The 22246-nt window shown below is 37.8% G+C and overlaps 2 annotated features.

The window, feature by feature from the left end:
* Nucleotides 8605-9164: an enhancer, noted in NCBI's record as "H3K27ac-H3K4me1 hESC enhancer chr12:55480328-55480887 (GRCh37/hg19 assembly coordinates)". NCBI's record gives its function as "activates a minimal SCP1, AML or CMV promoter by ChIP-STARR-seq in naive H9 embryonic stem cells {active_cell/tissue: H9 hESC(naive)}" and the evidence as "EXISTENCE:reporter gene assay evidence [ECO:0000049][PMID:30033119]".
* Nucleotides 9165-9723: an enhancer, noted in NCBI's record as "H3K27ac-H3K4me1 hESC enhancer chr12:55480888-55481446 (GRCh37/hg19 assembly coordinates)". NCBI's record gives its function as "activates a minimal SCP1, AML or CMV promoter by ChIP-STARR-seq in naive H9 embryonic stem cells {active_cell/tissue: H9 hESC(naive)}" and the evidence as "EXISTENCE:reporter gene assay evidence [ECO:0000049][PMID:30033119]".

The following is a 22246-nucleotide window of genomic DNA, read 5'->3' on the forward strand; positions in this document are numbered from 1 at the left end:
TTCCAGAGATATTTGCTGTTAACATTAAATATATCTGCATATATCTTATAGTTATTTTTCTTAAAGCAAATGATACAGCATATTTAGATTTTAAATTTAATAGACACCTATTAATTAGTTGATACATTAGTTACATTATTTTATATTATTACTTTTCTATGTCTTTCAATTGGCTTTTTACTCCAGGCATGGTACAAATTACCTAATTTAAAGATAATTTTTAAAGCGCAATCAGAAACAACAAAGTTGACATTACAACCGATGCCCCAGAAATGCAAAAGATCCTCAAACACTATTAAGAACACCTCTATGCACACAAACTAGAAAATATAGAGGAAATAGATAAATTCCTGAAACACAATCTTTCAAGATTGAATCAGGAAGAAACTGAAACACTGAACACACAAATATTGAGTTCCAAAATCGAATCAGTAATGAAAAACCTAGTAACCAAAAAAAGCCCCAGACCAGATACAGTCATAGTCAAATTCTACCAGATGTACAAAGAAGAGCTGGTACCAATTCTACCAAAACTATTCCAAAAAATCAAGGAGGAGGAACTCCTCTCTGACTCATTCTATGAAGCCAGCATCATCCTGATACCAAAATCTGGCAAAAACACAGTGAAAAACAGAAACTAACAGGCCAATATCACTGATGAATATAGATGCAAAATTCCTCAACAGATTACTGGAAAACTGAATTTAACAGCATGTTAAAAAGCTAATTCACCATGAACGAGTGGGCTTCGTTGTCGGAATGCAAGTTTGGTTCAACATGTGCAAATCAATAAGTGTGATTCACCACATAAACAGAATTAAAACTGAAAACCGTATGATCATCACAGCTTTTGATAAAATCCAACATCCCTTCATGATAAGAACCCTCAAGATAGGAACTCTCAAGAAACTAGTCATTAAAGGAACATACCTCAAAATAATAAGAGTCATCTATGACAAACCCACAGCCATCATCCTACTGAATGGGCAAAAACTGGAAGGATTCTCCTTGAGAACTGGAACAAGACAAGGATGTCCACTCTCATCACTCCTATTCATCATGGTACTGGAAGTGCTACCCAAAGCAGTCAGGTGAAAAAAGAAATGCAAGGCATCCGAAAAGAAATAGAAGTCAAACTATATCTCTTCATAGATGATATGATCCTATATCTAGAAAAGCCCAGAGAATCTGCCAAAAGCCTCCTAGAACTGATAAACAACTTCAGTAAAGTTTCAGAATATAGAATCAGTGTACAAAAATCAGTAGCTTTTCTATACACCAATAATATTCAAGCTGAGAGCCAAATCCAGAATGCAATCTCATTTTTAGTAGCCACACACAAAACTAAAATACCTAGGAATACATCTAACCAAGGAAGTGAAAGATCTCTGCAAAGAGAACTAAAAAATACTGCTTAAAGAAATCATAGATGACACACACAAATAGAAAAATATTTCATGCTTATGAACAGAAAGAATCAATATTGGTAAAATAGCCATACTGCCCAAAGAAATCTACAGATTCAACACTATTCCTATCAGACTACTCATCTCATTTTTCACAGAACTAGAAAAAACCATTCTAAAATTTATATGGAACAAGAAAACAGCCTGGATAGCCAAAGCAATCCTGAATAAAAAGAACAAAGCTGGAGGCATCACATTACCTGACTTCAAACTATACTATAAGGCTACAGTAACCAAAACAGCATGGTATTAGTACAAAAACAGACATGTAAACCAATGGAACAGAATACAGAACACAGAAAAAAAGCTGCACACCTACAGACATCTGATCTTTGACAAAGTCAACAAAAACAAGCAATGGGGAAAAGACTCCTTATTCAATAAATGGTGCTAAGATAGCTGGCTAGCTGTATGTTGAGGAATGAAATTTTGCCCCTACCTTTCACCATATACAAAAATTAACTCAAGATGGATTGAAGTTTTAAATGTAAGATCTCAAACTATAAGAATCCTAGAAGAAAGCCTAGAAAACATCATTCTGGATGTCAGCATTGGGAAAGCATTTATGACTAAGTACTCAAAAGCGATTGCAACAAAATAAAACATGGACATGTGGGATATAATTAAACTAAAGACCTTCTGCACAACAAAAATATCTATCAACGGAGTAAACAGACCACCTACAGAATGGGAGAAAATATTCACTAACTATGCATCAGACCAATATCTAATATCCAGAATCTATAAAGAACTTGAACAAATCAACAAGCAAAAAACAAATAACCCTATTAGAAAATGGGTAAAGGGAATGAACAAACATTTCTCAAAAGAAGAGATACATGAGGTCAACAAACATATGAAAAACTACTCCACATCATCAGAGAAATAGAAATCACAACCACAATGAGATACCATCTCACGCCAGTCAGAATGGCAATTATTAAAAAGTCAGGAAACAATAGATACTGGTGAGGCTGTGGACAAATAGGAACGCTTTTACACTGTTGGTGGGAGTGTAAATTAGTTCAACCATTGTGGAAGTCAGTGTGGCGATTCCTCAGGGATCTGGAACTGGAAATACCATTTGACCCAGCCATCCCATTACTGGGTATATACCCAAAGGATTACAAATCATTCTACTATAAAGACACATGCACGCATATGTTTATTGCAGCACTATTTACAATAGCAAAGACTTGGAACCAACCCAAATGTCCATCAATGATAGACTGGATAAAGAAAATGTGGCACATATACACCATGGAATACTATGCAGCTGTAAAATAGTGTTTTAAAAAGACAAGTCTAGAAACTAAAAATAACAAAGGTTGAGAAGAACAAGAAAATCGGGGTATGATTTAAAAAAAACACACATTAAGTGAAGTCAAGGTGATGCTAAGTCTGGATTATTCCTGTAGCAGTGAAAATAAACAAAAATGGATGAATCTGAGGGTTATTTTGAGGTACTAGTTAGTTATGTTGAGGTACTAGGCTAAAAATATTATCCTAGAAAATAGAAAATATCGTATTATCACTTAAAGAAGTGTGATAACTAGTATAGAAACCTATTAAAAGTCATCACATTAGCTATTGCTGTGTGTGTGTGTGTGTGTGTGTGTGTGTGTGTGTGTGTGTGTTGGATGAGATGGAGAAAACAGAGAGCTACATCATGTGTTTGATGGTTGGAGGAGTAAGCATGTAAGAGTAACACACTTCCACTTTTTGTACTGGTTTATTTGTCTTACTTCTGATATTTCCTGTTTCAAAAAAGTAGTGTTTAATCTGTCTTTTAATATGTATGTTATACAATGTGATATTCTGTTGTATTGAAAACAAAGATACAAAACAAAAGAAACATTAGGATCCTAATTCAATCTGAAGGGATAAAAAAGTCCAGCTGACTTTCTTAATAACATAACACTAAAATGACCATACATTTCCTGGTTGGGAAATCATTTTCTTTTTTTTTTATTATTATACTTTAAGTTTTAGGGTACATGTGCAGATTGTGCAGGTTAGTTACATATGTATACATGTGCCATGCTGGTGCGCTGCACCCACTAACTTGTCATCTAGCATTAGGAATATCTCCCAATGCTATCCCTCCCCCCTCCCCCCACCCCACAACAGTCCCCAGAGCGTGATATTCCCCTTTCTGTGTCCATGTGATCTCATTGTCCAATTCCCACCTATGAGTGAGAATATGCGGCATTTGGTTTTTTGTTCTTGCGATAGTTTACTGAGAATGATGATTTCCAATTTCATCCATGTCCCTACAAAGGACATGAACTCATCATTTTTTATGGCTGCATAGTATTCCATGGTGTATATGTGCCACATTTTCTTAATCCAGTCTATCATTGTTGGACATTTGGGTTGGTTCCAAGTCTTTGCTATTGTGAATAATGCCGCAATAAACATACGTGTGCATGTGTCTTTATAGCAGCATGATTTATAGTCCTTTGGGTATATACCCAGTAATGGGATGGCTGGGTCAAATGGTATTTCCAGTTCTAGATCCCTGAGGAATCGCCACACTGACTTCCACAATGGTTGAACTAGTTTACAGTCCCACCAACAGTGTAAAAGTGTTCCTATTTCCCCACATCCTCTCCAGCATCTGTTGTTTCCTGACTTTTTAATGATTGCCATTCTAACTGGTGTGAGATGGTATCTCATTGTGGTTTTGATTTGCATTTCTCTGATGGCCAGTGATGGTGAGCATTTTTTCATGTGTTTTTTGGCTGCATAAATGTCTTCTTTTGAGAAGTGTCTGTTCATGTCCTTCGCCCACTTTTTGATGGGGTTGTTTTTTTCTTGTAAATTTGTTTGAGTTCATTGTAGATTCTGGATATTAGCCCCTTGTCAGATGAGTAGGTTGTGAAAATTTTCTCCCATTTTGTAGGTTGCCTGTTCACTATGATGATAGTTTCTTTTGCTGTGCAGAAGCTCTTTAGTTTAATTAGATCCCATTTGTCAATTTTGGCTTTTGTTACCATTGCTTTTGGTGTTTTAGACATGAAGTCCTTGCCCATGCCTATGTCCTGAATGGTAATGCCTAGGTTTTCTTCTAGGGTTTTTATGGTTTTAGGTCTAACGTTTAAGTCTATAATCCATCTTGAATTGATTTTTGTATAAGGTGTAAGGAAGGGATCCAGTTTCAGCTTTCTACATATGGCTAGCCAGTTTTCCCAGCACCATTTATTAAATAGGGAATCCTTTCCCCATTGCTTGTTTTTCTCAGGTTTGTCAAAGATCAGATAGTTGTAGATGTGTGGCATTATTTCTGAGGGCTCTGTTCTGTTCCATTGATCTAGATCTCTGTTTTGGTACCAGTACCATGCTGTTTTGGTTACTGTAGCCTTGTAGTATAGTTTGAAGTCAGGTAGTGTGATGCCTCCATCTTTGTTCTTTTGGCTTAGGATTGACTTGGTGATGCGGGCTCTTTTTTGGTTCCATATGAACTTTAAAGCAGTTTTTTCCAATTCTGTGAAGAAAGTCATTGGTAGCTTGATGGGGATGGCATTGAATCTATAAATTACCTTGGGCAGTATGGCCATTTTCACGATATTGATTCTTCCTACCCATGAGCATGGAATGTTCTTCCATTTGTTTGTGTCCTCTTTTATTTCCTTGAGCAGTGGTTTGTAGTTCTCCTTGAAGAGGTCCTTCACATCCCTTGTAAGTTGGATTCCTAGGTATTTTATTCTCTTTGAAGCAATTGTGAATGGGATTTCACTCATGATTTGGCTCTCTGTTTGTCTGTTATTGGTGTATAAGAATGCTTGTGATTTTTGTACATTGATTTTGTATCCTGAGACTTTGCTGAAGTTGCTTATCAGCTTAAGGAGATTTTGGGCTGAGACAGTGGGGTTTTCTAGATATACAATCATGTCATCTGCAAACAGGGACAATTTGACTTCCTCTTTTACTAATTGAATACCCTTTATTTCCTTCTCCTGCCTAATTGCCCTGGCCAGAACTTCCAACACTAAGTTGAATAGGAGTGGTGAGAGAGGGCATCCCTGTCTTGTGCCAGTTTTCAAAGGGAATGCTTCTAGTTTTTGCCCATTCAGTATGATATTGGCTGTGGGTTTGTCATAGATAGCTCTTATTATTTTGAAATACATCCCATCAATACCTAATTTATTGAGAGTTTTTAGCATGAAGGGTTGTTGAATTTTGTCAAAGGCTTTTTCTGCATCTATTGAGATAATCATGTGGTTTTTGTCTTCGGCTCTGTTTATATGCTGGATTACATTTATTGATTTGCATATGTTGAACCAGCCTTGCATCCCAGGGATGAAGCCCACTTGATCATGGTGGATAAGCTTTTTGATGTGCTGCTGGATTCGGTTTGCCAGTATTTTATTGAGGATTTTTTGCATCAATGTTCATCAAGGATATTGGTCTAAAATTCTCTTTTTTGGTTGTCTCTCTGCCCGGCTTTGGTATCAGAATGATGCTGGCCTCATAAAATGAGTTAGGAAGGCTTCACTCTTTTTCTATTGATTGGAATAGTTTCAGAAGGAATGGTACCAGCTCCTCCTTATACCTCTGGTAGAATTCGGCTGTGAATCCATCTGGTCCTGGACTCTTTTTGGTTGGTAAGCTATTGATTATTGCCACAATTTCAGATCCTGTTATTGGTCTATTCAGAGATTCAACTTCTTCCTGGTTTAGTCTTGGGAGAGTGTATGTGTCGAGGAATTTATCCATTTCTTCTAGATTTTCTAGTTTATTTGCGTAGAGGTGTTTGTAGTATTCTCTGATGGTAGTTTGTATTTCTGTGGGATCGGTGGTGATATCCCCTTTATCATTTTTTATTGCGTCTATTTGATTCTTCTCTCTTTTTTTCTTTATTAGTCTTGCTAGCGGTCTATCAATTTTGTTGATCCTTTCAAAAAACCAGCTCCTGGATTCATTAATTTTTTGAAGGGTTTTTTGTGTCTCTATTTCCTTCAGTTCTGCTCTGATTTTAGTTATTTCTTGCCTTCTGCTAGCTTTTGAATGTGTTTGCTCTTGCTTTTCTAGTTCATTTAATTGTGATGTTAGGGTGCCAATTTTGGATCTTTCCTGCTTTCTCTTGTGGGCATTTAGTGCTATAAATTTCCCTCTACACACTGCTTTGAATGCGTCCCAGAGATTCTGGTATGTTGTGTCTTTGTTCTCGTTGGTTTCAAAGAACATCTTTATTTCTGCCTTCATTTCATTATGTACCCAGTAGTCATTCAGGAGCAGGTTGTTCAGTTTCCATGTAGTTGAGCGGTTTTGAGTGAGATTCTTAATCCTGAGTTCTAGTTTGATTGCACTGTGGTCTGAGAGATAGTTTGTTATAATCTCTGTTCTTTTACATTTTCTGAGGAGAGCTTTACTTCCAAGTATGTGGTCAATTTTGGAATAGGTGTGGTGCGGTGCTGAAAAAAATGTATATTCTGTTGATTTGGGGTGGAGAGTTCTGTAGATGTCTATTAGGTCCGCTTGGTGCAAAACTGAGTTCAATTCCTGGGTATCCTTGTTGACTTTCTGTCTCGTTGATCTGTCTAATGTTGACAGTGGGGTGTTAAAGTCTCCCATTATTAATGTGTGGGAGTCTAAGTCTCTTTGTAGGTCACTAAGGACTTGCTTTATGAATCTGGGTGCTCCTGTATTGGGTGCATATATATTTAGGATAGTTAGCTCTTCTTGTTGAATTGATCCCTTTACCATTATGTATGGCCTTCTTTGTGTCTTTTGATCTTTGTTGGTTGAAAGTCTGTTTTATCAGAGACTTGGATTGCAACCCCTGCCTTTTTTTGTTTTCCATTTGCTTGGTAGATCTTCCTCCATCCCTTTATTTTGAGCCTATGTGTGTCTCTGCATGTGAGATGGGTTTCCTGAATACAGCACACTGATGGGTCTTGACTCTTTATCCAATTTGTCAGTCTGTGTCTTTTAATTGGAGCATTTAGTCCATTTACATTTAAAGTTAATATTGTTATGTGTGAATTTGATCCTGTCATTATGATGTTAGCTGGTTCTTTTGCTGATTAGTTGATGCAGTTTCTTCCTAGCCTCAATGGTCTTTACATTTTGGCATGATTTTGCAGCGGCTGGTACCAGTTGTTCCTTTCCATGTTTAGTGCTTCCTTCAGGAGCTCTTTTAGGGCAGGCCTGGTGGTGACAAAATCTCTCAGCATTTGCTTGTCTGTAAAGTATTTTATTTCTCCTTCACTTATGAAGCTTAGTTTGGCTGGATATGAAATTCTGGGTTGAAAATTCTTTTCTTTAAGAATGTTGAATATTGGCCCCCACTCTCTTCTGGCTTGTAGAGTTTCTGCCGAGAGATCCGCTGTTAGTCTGTTGGGCTTCCCTTTGAGGGTAACCCGACCTTTCTCTCTGGCTGCCCTTAACATTTTTTCCTTCATTTCAACTTTGGTGAATCTGACAATTATGTGTCTTGGAGTTGCTCTTCTCGAGGAGTATCTTTGTGGCGTTCTCTGTATTTCCTGAATCTGAACGTTGGCCTGCCTTGCTAGATTGGGGAAGTTCTCCTGGATAATCTCCTGCAGAGTGTTTTCCAACTTGTTTCCATTCTCCCCATCACTTTCAGGTACACCAATCAGACATAGATTTGGTCTTTTCACATAGTCCCATATTTCTTGGAGGCTTTGCTCATTTCTTTTTATTCTTTTTTCTCTAAACTTCCCTTCTCGCTTCATTTCATTCATTTCATCTTCCATTGCTGATACCCTTTCTTCCAGTTGATCGCATCGGCTCCTGAGGCTTCTGCATTCTTCATGTAGTTCTTGAGCCTTGGTTTTCAGCTCCATCAGCTCCTTTAAGAATTTCTCTGTATTGGTTATTCTAGTTATACATTCTTCTAAAGTTTTTTCAAAGTTTTCAACTTCTTTGCCTTTGGTTTGAATGTCCTCCCATAGCTCAGAGTAATTTGATCGTCTGAAGCCTTCTTCTCTCAGCTCGTCAAAGTCATTCTCCATCCAGCTTTGTTCCATTGCTGGTGAGGAACTGTGTTCCTTTGGAGGAGGAGAGGTGCTCTGCTTTTTAGAGTTTCCAGTTTTTCTGTTCTGTTTTTTTCCCCATCTTTGTGGTTTTATCTACTTTTGGTCTTTGATGATGGTGATGTACAGATGGGTTTTTGGTGTGGATGTCCTTTCTGTTTGTTAGTTTTCCTTCTAACAGACAGGACCCTGAGCTGCAGGTCTGTTGGAGTACCCTGCTGTGTGAGGTGTCAGTGTGCCCCTGCTGGGGTGTGCCTCCCAGTTAGGCTGCTCGGGGGTCAGGGACCCACTTGAGGAGGCAGTCTTCCCGTTCTCAGATCTCCGTCTTCCCGTTCTCAGATCTCCAGCTGCGTGCTGGGAGAACCACTACTCTCTTCAAAGCTGTCAGACAGGGACATTTAAGTCTGCAGAGGTTACTGCTGTCTTTGTTTGTCTGTGCCCTGCCCCCAGAGGTGGAGCCTACAGAGGCAGGCAGGCCTCCTTGAGCTGTGGTGGGCTCCACCCAGTTGGAGCTTCAGGGCTGCTTTGTTTACCTAAGCAAGCCTGGGCAATGGCGGGCACCCCTCCCCCAGCCTCACTGCCCTCTTGCAGTTTGATCTCAGACTGCTGTACTAGCAATCAGCGAGACTCCGTGGGCGTAGGACCCTCTGAGCCAGGTGTGGGATATAATCTCGTGGTGCGCCGTTTTTTAAGCCGGTTGGAAAAGCGCAGTATTCGGGTGGGAGTGACCCGATTTTCCAGGTGGGTTCGTCACCCCTTTCTTTGACTCGGAAAGGGAACTTCCTGACCCCTTGCGCTTCCCAAATGAGGCAATGCCTCGCCCTGCTTCGGCTTGCCCACGGTGGGCGCACCCACTGACCTGCGCCCACTGTCTGCCACTCCCAAGTGAGATGAACCCGGTACCTCAGATGGAAATGCAGAAATCACCCGTCTTCTGCGTCACTCACGCTGGGAGCTGTAGACAGGATCTGTTCCTATTCGGCCATCTTGGCTCCTCCCCCCAGGGAAATCATTTTCTTTTTCTTATACTACCTTTTTTTTTCATAGTTGCAGTTTGCTTTCTTTTCTTTTTCTTCTGTTTGTAGTGTGTGTGTGTGTGTGTGTGTGTGTGTGTTAAGAACACTTAATATGAGATGTCATTTCAATCAAGTACTGAACAGATACTTTCTTGGTTTTACACTACACCACCTAAAGTTTTAAAAATGATTTTCTCAACAGCCATCATGTAAATAAGATGTCATAAGCTGATGAAAATCTATTACTTTTGAGGAAGCAATGTTCTTTGTGTTCCCTCCTGTCTTTCCTATTTGTAGCTATGCCACCAAGCCAGGATTGAGAGAAGGGTTGGTTGGCCTAAGTTGTTTGATATGCTGATAGGACTTCCAAATAGGCACCTGGTTTTAAACTATACATGCCAAATTCATATTAAAGGCAATATTTTAAGTTGTGATGGCAAATGAATACACCAAGTGTTTAGAGGTTGTGTTGATGCTATCAATAAGTTATTTTAGTATAGAAGTGAAAATAAAAGGGCGGGAAAGAAATTCAGGTTGATAAGTGAATGAATGAGTAACAACAGGGAGCCAGGAAACCCCCATCTATTCTGGAAATGGGAGTAGTAAACTTAGGGTGATTATAAGCTGGAGAAGAAGGAGGATGGGACTTAAAGCTGGAGATACATGTTGTGAAGTCAGATTGTAAAGAGCTCGCATTGGAAGCGAGTTTCTGGATCCTCAGCTTTGTGAATTAGAAGCATCATAGCTCACACATTTGAACAGTTTCTGAGATGACAATTCAGTATATCCATAGACAAAATGATGAAAGTTTATTTTATGTATTAAATTTGTAGTTATGTATACATATCACAATGCTTGGAATATATCTGATAATTTGATACAATATCTTAGGTTTTACAGAATCATTAGGTTCCTGAAGAATCAGGAAAAGTGAATTGAAACCCTTTTCTGATTAAAGAAATTGTCATTCAGAAGATTATCATATAATGTATCTTTATCTGATAAAATATTTTATAGTCTTTGTAAATAAAAGGCTAGATTTATAGTGGTCGAAAAAGTGTACACTTCTCAAGCTGATTAATTGATCTTCATTAACCTGGAAGCAGGCTTTATCAAACAACCTTGAATTATTTCTGTTTAAAAGTGATATCAAGGCCGGGCGCAGTGGCTCACGCCTGTAATCCCAGCACTTTGGGAGGCCGAGGCGGGTGGATCACGAGGTCAGGAGTTTGAGACCAGCCTGGCCAACATGGTGAAACCCCACCTCTACTAAAAATTACAAAAATTAGCCGGGTGTGGTGGCGCACGCCTGTAATCCCAGCTACTAAGGAAGCTGAGGCAGGAGAATTGCTTGAATCCCAGAGGTGGAGGTTGCAGTGAGCCGAGATTATGCCATGGCACCCCAGCCTGGGCAACAGAGCAAGACAGTCTCAAAAAAAAAAAAAAAGGTTATATCAATAAAAACTTAAAAGCAATAAAATGAAACTTCCTTATGTCCAAAAACATGCAGCACTCACCAATAAGACGTGAAGGACACACAAATATATGACATTGGTTTTTATAACATGGAAATATAGTATGAAAGCAGCAATCTAAAAGGTAAAAAATGGTTAGACATAAAATATTGCAAAAGTGTAGTTAAAGAAAAGACAATATGAGAGAAGTCACAGAACAAGAATATGGAACACCAAACTCAGTAGCAATTTACATAAGACCAAAATAAAACAAAAACAAGAATAAAACTAAAGTTTCTTTTGGCTGAAAGATCAGTATGAAGCAATATTAAAAAAAAATACTTTCTGTCTCATATGCCTTAAAAGAGTATACATTGCAAATAATTAGGCAGTCATATTTCAACTTGATAGACTATATACAGCCTGATGTCAAATTGTGGCAATAGACTTTTTGAAAAGGAAACTTAGAAATTATTCAATCGCTACTAAAAGATCCTAACAAATTAAGGATGCTGAATCCAGAAATGTAGACTATGGGGCATTAATGTATTTGTCTTTTAAAATTTAGAAAGCATGTCAGAAGATAGAAGTATTCAGTGGACCTTCGGAAAGCAGAGTAATGGGTAGAGACTCTGACATTCAGGTGGTTGGAATTTATAGAGAAGCAAACTTTCTCTTAATATAAAGAAAAAACTTTATAATAAGGAGTCTTGTCCAAAATAACTTGGTGATTACCCCAAGAGTATTCAACAAGTAAAGAAATCACACTTAGTGTTTGCTCCTCATATGTCCTCATGGGATGGCTCTAGAGTTTAAGCTTGTTATGAAATTATAATTGACTTATTTTTCAGCCTTCTCTCAGAGGAACTTCTTCCTCCAAAATTCTGAAAAATGTTATGCTGCAATTCTCTGAAATAGTTTCATGAGATTGGAAAAACCTAAGACAACTATGGATGCTAGCTGCTGCTATCTTTGTAGGTCATCAGGGACCAGGGAGTTTTGTTCACCTTAAATTTCCATTTTGCTCCCATGTTCATGCTAAGGCCTGTGAAATGTGACAGCAGGGAGGCAAGAGATTTTCATGTAGTTTGATTTCATAGATTCAATGAGCATTTATTCAATTTTGGTAGGGAAATACCCATTATTCTCTGAGAAAACTACAGAGATTCCTAGTCCATCATCTTCATACTGTGTGCAGAAAGACAACTATAACAGGTTTTCAAACAAAATTAAAACTTTATACAAAAATCCACATCGAAAAAGCTTTTAATATAATGATATGATCTTGAGAGGCTGAAGATTATATTAGGCTTCTTAAATGCTCAACGTACTTGTATTGCATTGTTTTATTTTCCCTCGTTATAACTTTTCATGCATACACATATACTGATTGATCCGTAGCATCATGTACTTCACTTTGTCTTTAAATTTGATGTGATGTTAGTGTTTACCTAACATTTAGTTCTATTAACATTTGGCGTACTGATATGGAATTTCGGTGAGGGTACTTAGAATACTATTTTCTATTACCAGGGTGCTAAGATTCTCTGATTCAAATAGTTGCAAATGATAAGTATTGATTTAAACTTCACAAATTACGTTAAAATCACTAAATTAAACATTGTTTACTAGCACCTGGAGCTTGCTCCATTTGCTTTCAAATAGTTTCAACTCCTTATTATGGGATTTAAATTATGTTGATTGAAGTAGCTGAACTAATAAAGTATTATAAAAGTGTTTCAGTGGTGGATTGATACTGAACTATGTTATTCTTACCCTTGTGAGTTGAGAATGATACCACTTTGCCCAATTTCATGATACCAGAATAGGTGATAAAATCAATAAAAATTCTGAATGTAAACTATTATCCTAGTGATCTCAGTGAGGACAAAACTACTAGTTGAGGTGGGGAGAGGAAGAGGAAGAAAAGGGAAGAGGTGGGTTAAGAAAAAAAGCAGGATATGTCAGAACTGAAAATAACATGAATGACTGAGCAAACTATTGCAAGGACAGAAAACCAGACACCGCATGTTCTCACTCATAGGTCGGAATTGAACAATGAGAACACTTGGACACAGGGTGGGGAACACCATACACCGGGGCCTGTCGTGGGGTGGGAGGGAGGGGGAGGGATAGCATTAGGAGATATACCTAATGTAAATGTAACAAACTTGCACGTTGTGCACATGTACCCTAGAACTTAAGTATAATTAAAAAAAAAAAAGAAAAAAGAAATAAACACCAAAACACCAAGACCAAAAAATAAATAAATAAATAAAAAGAAAATAACATGAATGAAAAAAAGAATTCATTTCAAAGTCGTTTCCTAATTATCCTAATTTTGCATAAAAAGACAAAACAACAAAACCCAAAACCTTTACAAATACTAATTTCCATATTTCTTAGGTTTATAAAATATGGCTTGTAGATTTTTGAAATAGCTCCTTCTTTCTCTTTTTTGTTCTGTTTTGTTTTTTGAGACGGAGTCTCACTCTTGTCGCCCAGGCTGGAGTGCAGTGGCGCGCTCTCGGCTCACTGCAACCTCTGTCTCCCGGGTTCAAGCGATTCTCCTGCCTTAGCCTCCCGAGCAGCTGGGACTACAGGTGTGTGCCACCACGCCTGGCTAATTTTTTTTTGTATTTTTAGTAGAGACGGGGTTTCACCGTGTTAGCCAGGATGGTCTCGATTGCCTGACCTCGTGATCCCCCGACCTCGGCCTCCCAAAGTTCTGGGATTACAGAATGGAGCCACGGCGCCCAGCCCCTTCTTTCTTTATCAACACTTTTAAAGCACCCACTTGTTCAAATTTTTTGACACTCTGATGATTGGCCAGCTTCCTCAGTTGAATGTCTTTTAGTTAGATTTCTGTTGTGACAACCTACACAAACTAGCTTTGGGTTTAAGCAAAAGATAAACATTTAGTCATATAAATTTCATTTCGCTCTGTCTGCACATACACGATGGTAAGGCTGGAGAAGATGAGTTTCTCCTGAACATTCTAGGGAACTAGAAAACAGAAAACAGACAAAACTTCACATGCAAGCCAAACTTGTCAAATGCTACTCTTGGAAATGTTTACTTCAATAAATTTAAGGCTCTTTTTCCTTCTACTGGAAAATTAAATTCCAGTGAATAAGACCCTTATGTTCCAGCTTTGAGTATGTGTCCACTCATTATTCTAACAATCCATCTCATCTATTTCACTGTCCAAATTCTTTTCTTTCAGTTAATACAGTTATGAAACTTCCAACACGTAACATAATGCAAGAAGTTCATGTCTTTATAAAATTATTGTCATTCTATCCCTTAAGAGACATGATTCAAAATATTATGTGTTGCTATATTTAACTCCTAGTCTAACATTCCTGGTCGATTTCCATTCTTATATTAATTAATTGAGTATCCTGTTTTAATAGTTTATAATCTATACACTGATGGTAAGCTATCATCATCTCTACTATAATTAATAATAAATAAAATATGTAAACAAATATACATTTCAATATGAATGAGAAAACATAAACAATTTAATTAAATGTTAAAGTTGTCTTAAAACATTCATCAAGGAAGTAAATTTGAACCAAACTATAGTCCTTATTTTTGAAACAGGTCATGAGGTTATATTTCTTACTATACATTTCTTACTTCTCTTTGTATTTGGTGTTTTCTTGCCTTTGATCTCAGCTTTTCAGAATCTAATGTCTAGTGAGTTTGTTCTAATCTGCATCCTGGATGGTTTTAGTTTTGTGGGGTACACGTACTGTAGTAGATACTCTCAGTTGCCTACATAGGGAGGCACTGTCTTCTTTCTTCTTGACAAACCTCGCGTCAGAAAAGTTTCTATCACCAGTGGTAGATCTCTAGTTTATTCTTATTATAGGGTTTTTATTCCTTTTTAGTGGTAACTAGTTCAGGAATGGAAACATATTCTATTAAAACATACTTAAATAAGTTGAAGTAAATAGTCTGCTGGAGAGTTTGGGAACTACATGCATTTATTTTTCCTTATTTTAAAAAAGAAGCAGAATTAATGAAAGAGTACAGCTCCTCAATTTCTTTTTGGACCATGTGAGAATAGAGAATTTACAGGATGGCAAATATTTATTTTTTTGTTATCAGGTAAAAACAAAGTGATTTTGTTCCATCTTCAGCAGAAAGGAGAAACATTTTCAAATAAATATATGCATAATATATTCTCATGCGCTGAATGTTTTTGTTCTAGTAAGAATCATATCTGTTTTAATAACTACCACTACACTCATCATTTGATAAAATTATGATAAGCTAAACTGGCTCTCAAGCGCCCTAACCTTTCACTGGCTAAACTATAAGATAAATGCAAAAAAAGCATCACATTTCTTTGTCATCTTTGCTGGTGGCACTAATTCTCTGCTATTCCTCTTGTGATCTGTATACATTTTAATATGATATTTTAGCAAGAAGTGCCATGAAATTCCATTTATCCCTTACTACTTTATTAGTCCTTACTCTATGTCATGGATCAACCGTGCATGTTTACCAACTTCTTCAGCCTTATACCACAATTACATATACACTTAGGAAGTGGGAAATATACTACTGATTTTTAGGTTCCATGGTACCTATTAGGAGATGAAGACAAATCAAAACCCATTCCCTGTCTTACCCTCTAGAGTCCTTCATTCTGATGAGCAGCCTGGGTAACATTCTGGGTTCTTAAGATTTGGTGATAGTTCTAAAACGGGATCCAAATATCTCTAAAGGTCCACAAAATGTTTGGGTGTACACTTTTCTTTAGTGTTTGTTAGCCATAAATCAGCCACCAAAATACTCAGAGAAGGATTGTTGGAAGGATTTCAGTTCATATCTTTGGTATTAGAATGAGAACCTTACTTAGAGCTACCTAGACTTCTTCATGTTGGTGACTCTGTCAGAATTGGAAGTGAACAGGTTGTGAATTATAGTGGCTTAAGTTAGGTCTCTGTTGAGTGGATTGGTTCTCTCTCTCTGTCTGGGTCGCTGGAGTGCCCACTTATTTCATTCCCCATGATTAACTAACTATAGGTGGAGATCACTGTGCCACATCCATCTTTTTGACTAATAAGCCAAAAGCTTCTACTATCGTCTAAATGAAATTTTCCTTGGCTCTCTCAGTCAAATGCCACAATTTGAAGTCTGTAACTACACAATTACTACTAATATCAGGGAGATCGTTTTAACTTTTATCATTGCCCCATGAACATTCTTAGGGAGAAACATCACAGCTGATTTGAAAGTCGCTGGTTGTTTCCTTGGTCACTGGTAAATGAAAAATTTTATAGCACCTCAGGGTGCACCTATCCAGGATATATTAAATAATTATGAAAGTAGGTCTTCTTAATTGATTAAAAGTTTAATAGAAACACCTTTAGGAGTTTATTAATATGATGTTGGAGATAATTTTGGAGATATGTTTAAAAATATTTAAAATAAAATAATTTACTTAATATTTTAAAATATTATAAAAAACGAATTCTGTATTATTGAGTTAACTCTGAGGAGGGTGGGGATATACAGCATTTTCATAATACTTCTCTATTAGGCTGGTCCAGGGCAGAGAGCCATCTGTAGGAATCTGATTTAGACAATGTTAAAAAAATGAGAAGGTTGGATTTATCATGAGATTTGCATGACTGAGGGCAGAAATTCTAAGTCAACAGCACTTATGTTTAACAGAACCTTAATTAAATTTGAGACTTAAAATAGATGGCTCAAAGTCTACTTTAAAATAGACCATTGAAAGAAAAGTAAGTTAGGCATAATTTTAAAGGTGTTTTGGCAATGTGAGCTAGCAATTGCAGAGAGATTATAAGGGGAGATAAAGAGGGCACAAAACCATAGCAGATATGAGAGCCGCTGGCAAAAATATAGCAGTGACAAGCTCCATGGTGAGGTTATTGAGAGACATTTAAAAGTGTGAGGTCTAGCATCCAGTTTAAGTAAATTTCTATACCCCTTTTCTGTTACCCTTAAGCTCTTAAGAGAAGTCTGCTTTGCAAAATAGGTGTGTGCTAGTGTTGCTGTGGGAGGCTAACAGATTGTAAAGGTCATGGAATCTTTAGGAAATCATCTCGACTTTTGAGTTCAGGGTGGTAACTTCACAAACTGGGTGGACAGTATTTTTAGTAGTTTCAGTTGTAGCAGCAAAATGAGCACAGGACCAGAGTCTGCCTGAGAGTCACAGGCAGGAGCCAGCTGACAAATGAGAATAAGCAGCAATGTGGATGGGCTTGAGAATAGCATTAGAGAAGCTTAGGGACATGGATGAAGCTGGAAACCATCATTCTCAGCAAACTATCGCAAGGACAAAAAACCAAACACCGCATGTTCTCACTCAGAGGTGGGAATTCAACAATGGGAACACATGGACACAGGAAGGGGAACATCACACACCAGGGCCTGTTGTGGGGTGGGGGGGTGGGGGAGGGATAGCATTAGGAGATATACCTAATGCTAAGTGACGAGTTAATGGGTGCAGCACACCAGCATGGCACGTGTATACATACGTAACAAACCTGCACATTGTGCACATGTACCCTAAAACTTAAAGTATAAAACAAAACAAACAAAAAAAAATGACTTTAAAGTACAGAGTTTGCCTTATACACTATTAGAAAACTATGTGTCTCTAACAGAGAATGTTATGTATCCCTTGCTGTATATTTTGCTATTATTTAACTTAAAATTTCATCAAATTCATCTATTTGTCTATCAGTAGGAAATATTTTATTTTTCCTGAGCTCCCTTTGCAGCTCTATGTTACCTTGTAATAAATTTGTCCAGGTCGTGAGTGAAGTGTAAGGACAATACACAGCCAGCTTTTTGGAGGGAGACTGGGCATTTTCCTACCAACAAAGACGTTCTCCTGCATGATCATATTTCAGTACTCAGAATCAGGATTGCTTTACCATCGTCTAAACCTCCGAACTGACCAGTTGTTCCAAAGGCGTCATTGATAGTAAAAGGAATGGTAATGTGTAAAGTTTAGAGTCACATTTTGCATCCAGTTGTATATGTAAGTCTCCTTAAATATAGAACAGTTTGAAACTTGATTTTGAAACCTGGGCAAGGAAGGGGCTCTAAAAAATATAGAGTAAACTCAGACAATATTCTCCTTCTCATAGTTGGAGCAGAGTGTCTCTTCCATTCACATGAAAGATATTTTTAACCTATTTCCAAATACACTCGACTGGCCACTAAATATGTACTATAGTGCTATAGGGTAGTGCTATATAAGTGGATCATCAGATAAATATGATGTTTTGAGAGTTAACACACAGAAACATTACATTTAGAAATAATCTCAAACTTATAGAGAATTTCTGGTACAAAAGAAAAAACTTTTTTTTATTTTTTTTTAAATTTTTTTTTTTTATTATACTCTAAGTTTTAGGGTACATGTGCACATTGTGCAGGTTAGTTACATATGTATACATGTGCCATGCTGCTGCGCTGCACCCACTAATGTGTCATCTAGCATTAGGTATATCTCCCAATGCTATCCCTCCCCCCTCCCCCGACCCCACCACTGTCCCCAGAGTGTGATATTCCCCTTCCTGTGTCCATGTGATCTCATTGTTCAATTCCCACCTATGAGTGAGAATATGCGGTGTTTGGTTTTTTGTTCTTGCGATAATTTACTGAGAATGATGGTTTCCAATTTCATCCATGTCCCTACAAAGGACATGAACTCATCATTTTTTATGGCTGCATAGTATTCCATGGTGTATATGTGCCACATTTTCTTAATCCAGTCTATCATTGTTGGACATTTGGGTTGGTTCCAAGTCTTTGCTATTGTGAATAGTGCCGCAATAAACATACGTGTGCATGTGTCTTTATAGCAGCATGATTTATAGTCCTTTGGGTATATACCCAGTAATGGGATGGCTGGGTCAAATGGTATTTCTAGTTCTAGATCCCTGAGGAATCGCCACACTGACTTCCACAATGGTTGAACTAGTTTACAGTCCCACCAACAGTGTAAAAGTGTTCCTATTTCTCCACATCCTCTCCAGCACCTGTTGTTTCCTGACTTTTTAATGATTGCCATTCTAACTGGTGTGAGATGATATCTCATAGTGGTTTTGATTTGCATTTCTCTGATGGCCAGTGATGATGAGCATTTTTTCATGTGTTTTTTGGCTGCATAAATGTCTTCTTTTGAGAAGTGTCTGTTCATGTCCTTTGCCCACTTTTTGATGGGGTTGTTTGTTTTTTTCTTGTAAATTTGTTTGAGTTCATTGTAGATTCTGGATATTAGCCCTTTGTCAGATGAGTAGGTTGCGAAAATTTTCTCCCATGTTGTAGGTTGCCTGTTCACTCTGATGGTAGTTTCTTTTGCTGTGCAGAAGCTCTTTAGTTTAATTAGATCCCATTTGTCAATTTTGGCTTTTGTTGCCATTGCTTTTGGTGTTTTGGACATGAAGTCCTTGCCCACGCCTATGTCCTGAATGGTAATGCCTAGGTTTTCTTCTAGGGTTTTTATGGTTTTAGGTCTAACGTTTAAATCTTTAATCCATCTTGAATTGATTTTTGTATAAGGTGTAAGGAAGGGATCCAGTCTCAGCTTTCTACATATGGCTAGCCAGTTTGCCCAGCACCATTTATTAAATAGGGAGTCCTTTCCCCATTGCTTGTTTTTCTCAGGTTTGTCAAAGATCAGATAGTTGTAGATATGTGGCATTATTTCTGAGGGCTCTGTTCTGTTCCATTGATCTATATCTCTGTTTTGGTACCAGTACCATGCTGTTTTGGTTACTGTAGCCTTGTAGTATAGTTTGAAGTCAGGTAGTGTGATGCCTCCAGCTTTGTTCTTTTGGCTTAGGATTGACTTGGCGATGCGGGCTCTTTTTTGGTTCCATATGAACTTTAAAGTAGTTTTTTCCAATTCTGTGAAGAAAGTCATTGGTAGCTTGATGGGGATGGCATTGAATCTGTAAATTACCTTGGGCAGTATGGCCATTTTCACGATATTGATTCTTCCTACCCATGAGCATGGAATGTTCTTCCATTTGTTTGTGTCCTCTTTTATTTCCTTGAGCAGTGGTTTGTAGTTCTCCTTGAAGAGGTCCTTCACATCCCTTGTAAGTTGGATTCCTAGGTATTTTATTCTCTTTGAAGCAATTGTGAATGGGATTTCACTCATGATTTGGCTCTCTGTTTGTCTGTTGTTGGTGTATAAGAATGCTTGTGATTTTTGTACATTGATTTTGTATCCTGAGACTTTGCTGAAGTTGCTTATCAGCTTAAGGAGATTTTGGGCTGAGACGATGGAGTTTTCTAGATAAACAATCATGTCGTCTGCAAACAGGGACAATTTGACTTCCTCTTTTCCTAATTGAATACCCTTTATTTCCTTCTCCTGCCTGATTGCCCTGGCCAGAACTTCCAACACTATGTTGAATAGGAGCGGTGAGAGAGGGCATCCCTGTCTTGTGCCAGTTTTCAAAGGGAATGCTTCCAGTTTTTGCCCATTCAGTATGATATTGGCTGTGGGTTTGTCATAGATAGCTCTTATGATTTTGAAATACGTCCCATCAATACCTAATTTATTGAGAGTTTTTAGCATGAAGGGTTGTTGAATTTTGTCAAAGGCTTTTTCTGCATCTATTGAGATAATCATGTGGTTTTTGTCTTTGGCTCTGTTTATATGCTGGATTACATTTATTGATTTGCGTATATTGAACCAGCCTTGCATCCCAGGGATGAAGCCCACTTGATCATGGTGGATAAGCTTTTTGATGTTCTGCTGGATTCGGTTTGCCAGTATTTTATTGAGGATTTTTGCATCAATGTTCATCAAGGATATTGGTCTAAAATTCTCTTTTTTGGTTGTGTCTCTGCCCGGCTTTGGTATCAGAATGATGCTGGCCTCATAAAATGAGTTAGGGAGGATTCCCTCTTTTTCTATTGATTGGAATAGTTTCAGAAGGAATGGTACCAGTTCCTCCTTGTACCTCTGGTAGAATTCGGCTGTGAATCCATCTGGTCCTGGACTCTTTTTGGTTGGTAAACTATTGATTATTGCCACAATTTCAGAGCCTGTTATTGGTCTATTCAGAGATTCAACTTCTTTCTGGTTTAGTCTTGGGAGAGTGTATGTGTCGAGGAATGTATCCATTTCTTCTAGATTTTCTAGTTTATTTGCTTAGAGGTGTTTGTAGTATTCTCTGATGGTAGTTTGTATTTCTGTGGGATCGGTGGTGATATCCCCTTTATCATTTTTTATTGTGTCTATTTGATTCTTCTCTCTTTTTTTCTTTATTAGTCTTGCTAGCGGTCTATCAATTTTGTTGATCCTTTCAAAAAACCAGCTCCTGGATTCATTGATTTTTTGAAGGGTTTTTTGTGTCTCTATTTCCTTCAGTTCTGCTCTGATTTTAGTTATTTCTTGCCTTCTGCTAGCTTTTGAATGTGTTTGCTCTGCTTTTGTACTTCTTTTAATTGTGATGTTAGGGTGTCAATTTTGGATCTTTCCTGCTTTCTCTTGTAGGCATTTAGTGCTATAAATTTCCCTCTACACACTGCTTTGAATGCGTCCCAGAGATTCTGGTATGTGGTGTCTTTGTTCTCGTTGGTTTCAAAGAACATCTTTATTTCTGCCTTCATTTCGTTATGTACCCAGTAGTCATTCAGGAGCAGGTTGTTCAGTTTCCATGTAGTTGAGCGGCTTTGAGTGAGATTCTTAATCCTGAGTTCTAGTTTGATTGCACTGTGGTCTGAGAGATAGTTTGTTATAATTTCTATTCTTTTACATTTGCTGAGGAGAGCTTTACTTCCAAGTATGTGGTCAATTTTGGAATAGGTGTGGTGTGGTGCTGAAAAAAATGTATATTCTGTTGATTTGGGGTGGAGAGTTCTGTAGATGTCTATTAGGTCTGCTTGGTGCAGAGCTGAGTTCAATTCCTGGGTATCCTTGTTGACTTTCTGTCTCGTTGATCTGTCTAATGTTGACAGTGGGGTGTTAAAGTCTCCCATTATTATTGTGTGGGAGTCTAAGTCTCTTTGTAGGTCACTCAGGACTTGCTTTATGAATCTGGGTGCTCCTGTATTGGGTGCATATATATTTAGGATAGTTAGCTCCTCTTGTTGAATTGATCCCTTTACCATTATGTAATGGCCTTCTTTGTCTCTTTTGATCTTTGTTGGTTTAAAGTCTGTTTTATCAGAGACTAGGATTGCAAACCCTGCCTTTTTTTGTTTTCCATTGGCTTGGTAGATCTTCCTCCATCCTTTTATTTTGAGCCTATGTGTGTCTCTGCACGTGCGATGGGTTTCCTGAATACAGC

Source organism: Homo sapiens, chromosome 12 (assembly GCF_000001405.40).
Source record: "Homo sapiens chromosome 12, GRCh38.p14 Primary Assembly".
Classification (NCBI taxonomy): domain Eukaryota; kingdom Metazoa; phylum Chordata; class Mammalia; order Primates; family Hominidae; genus Homo; species Homo sapiens.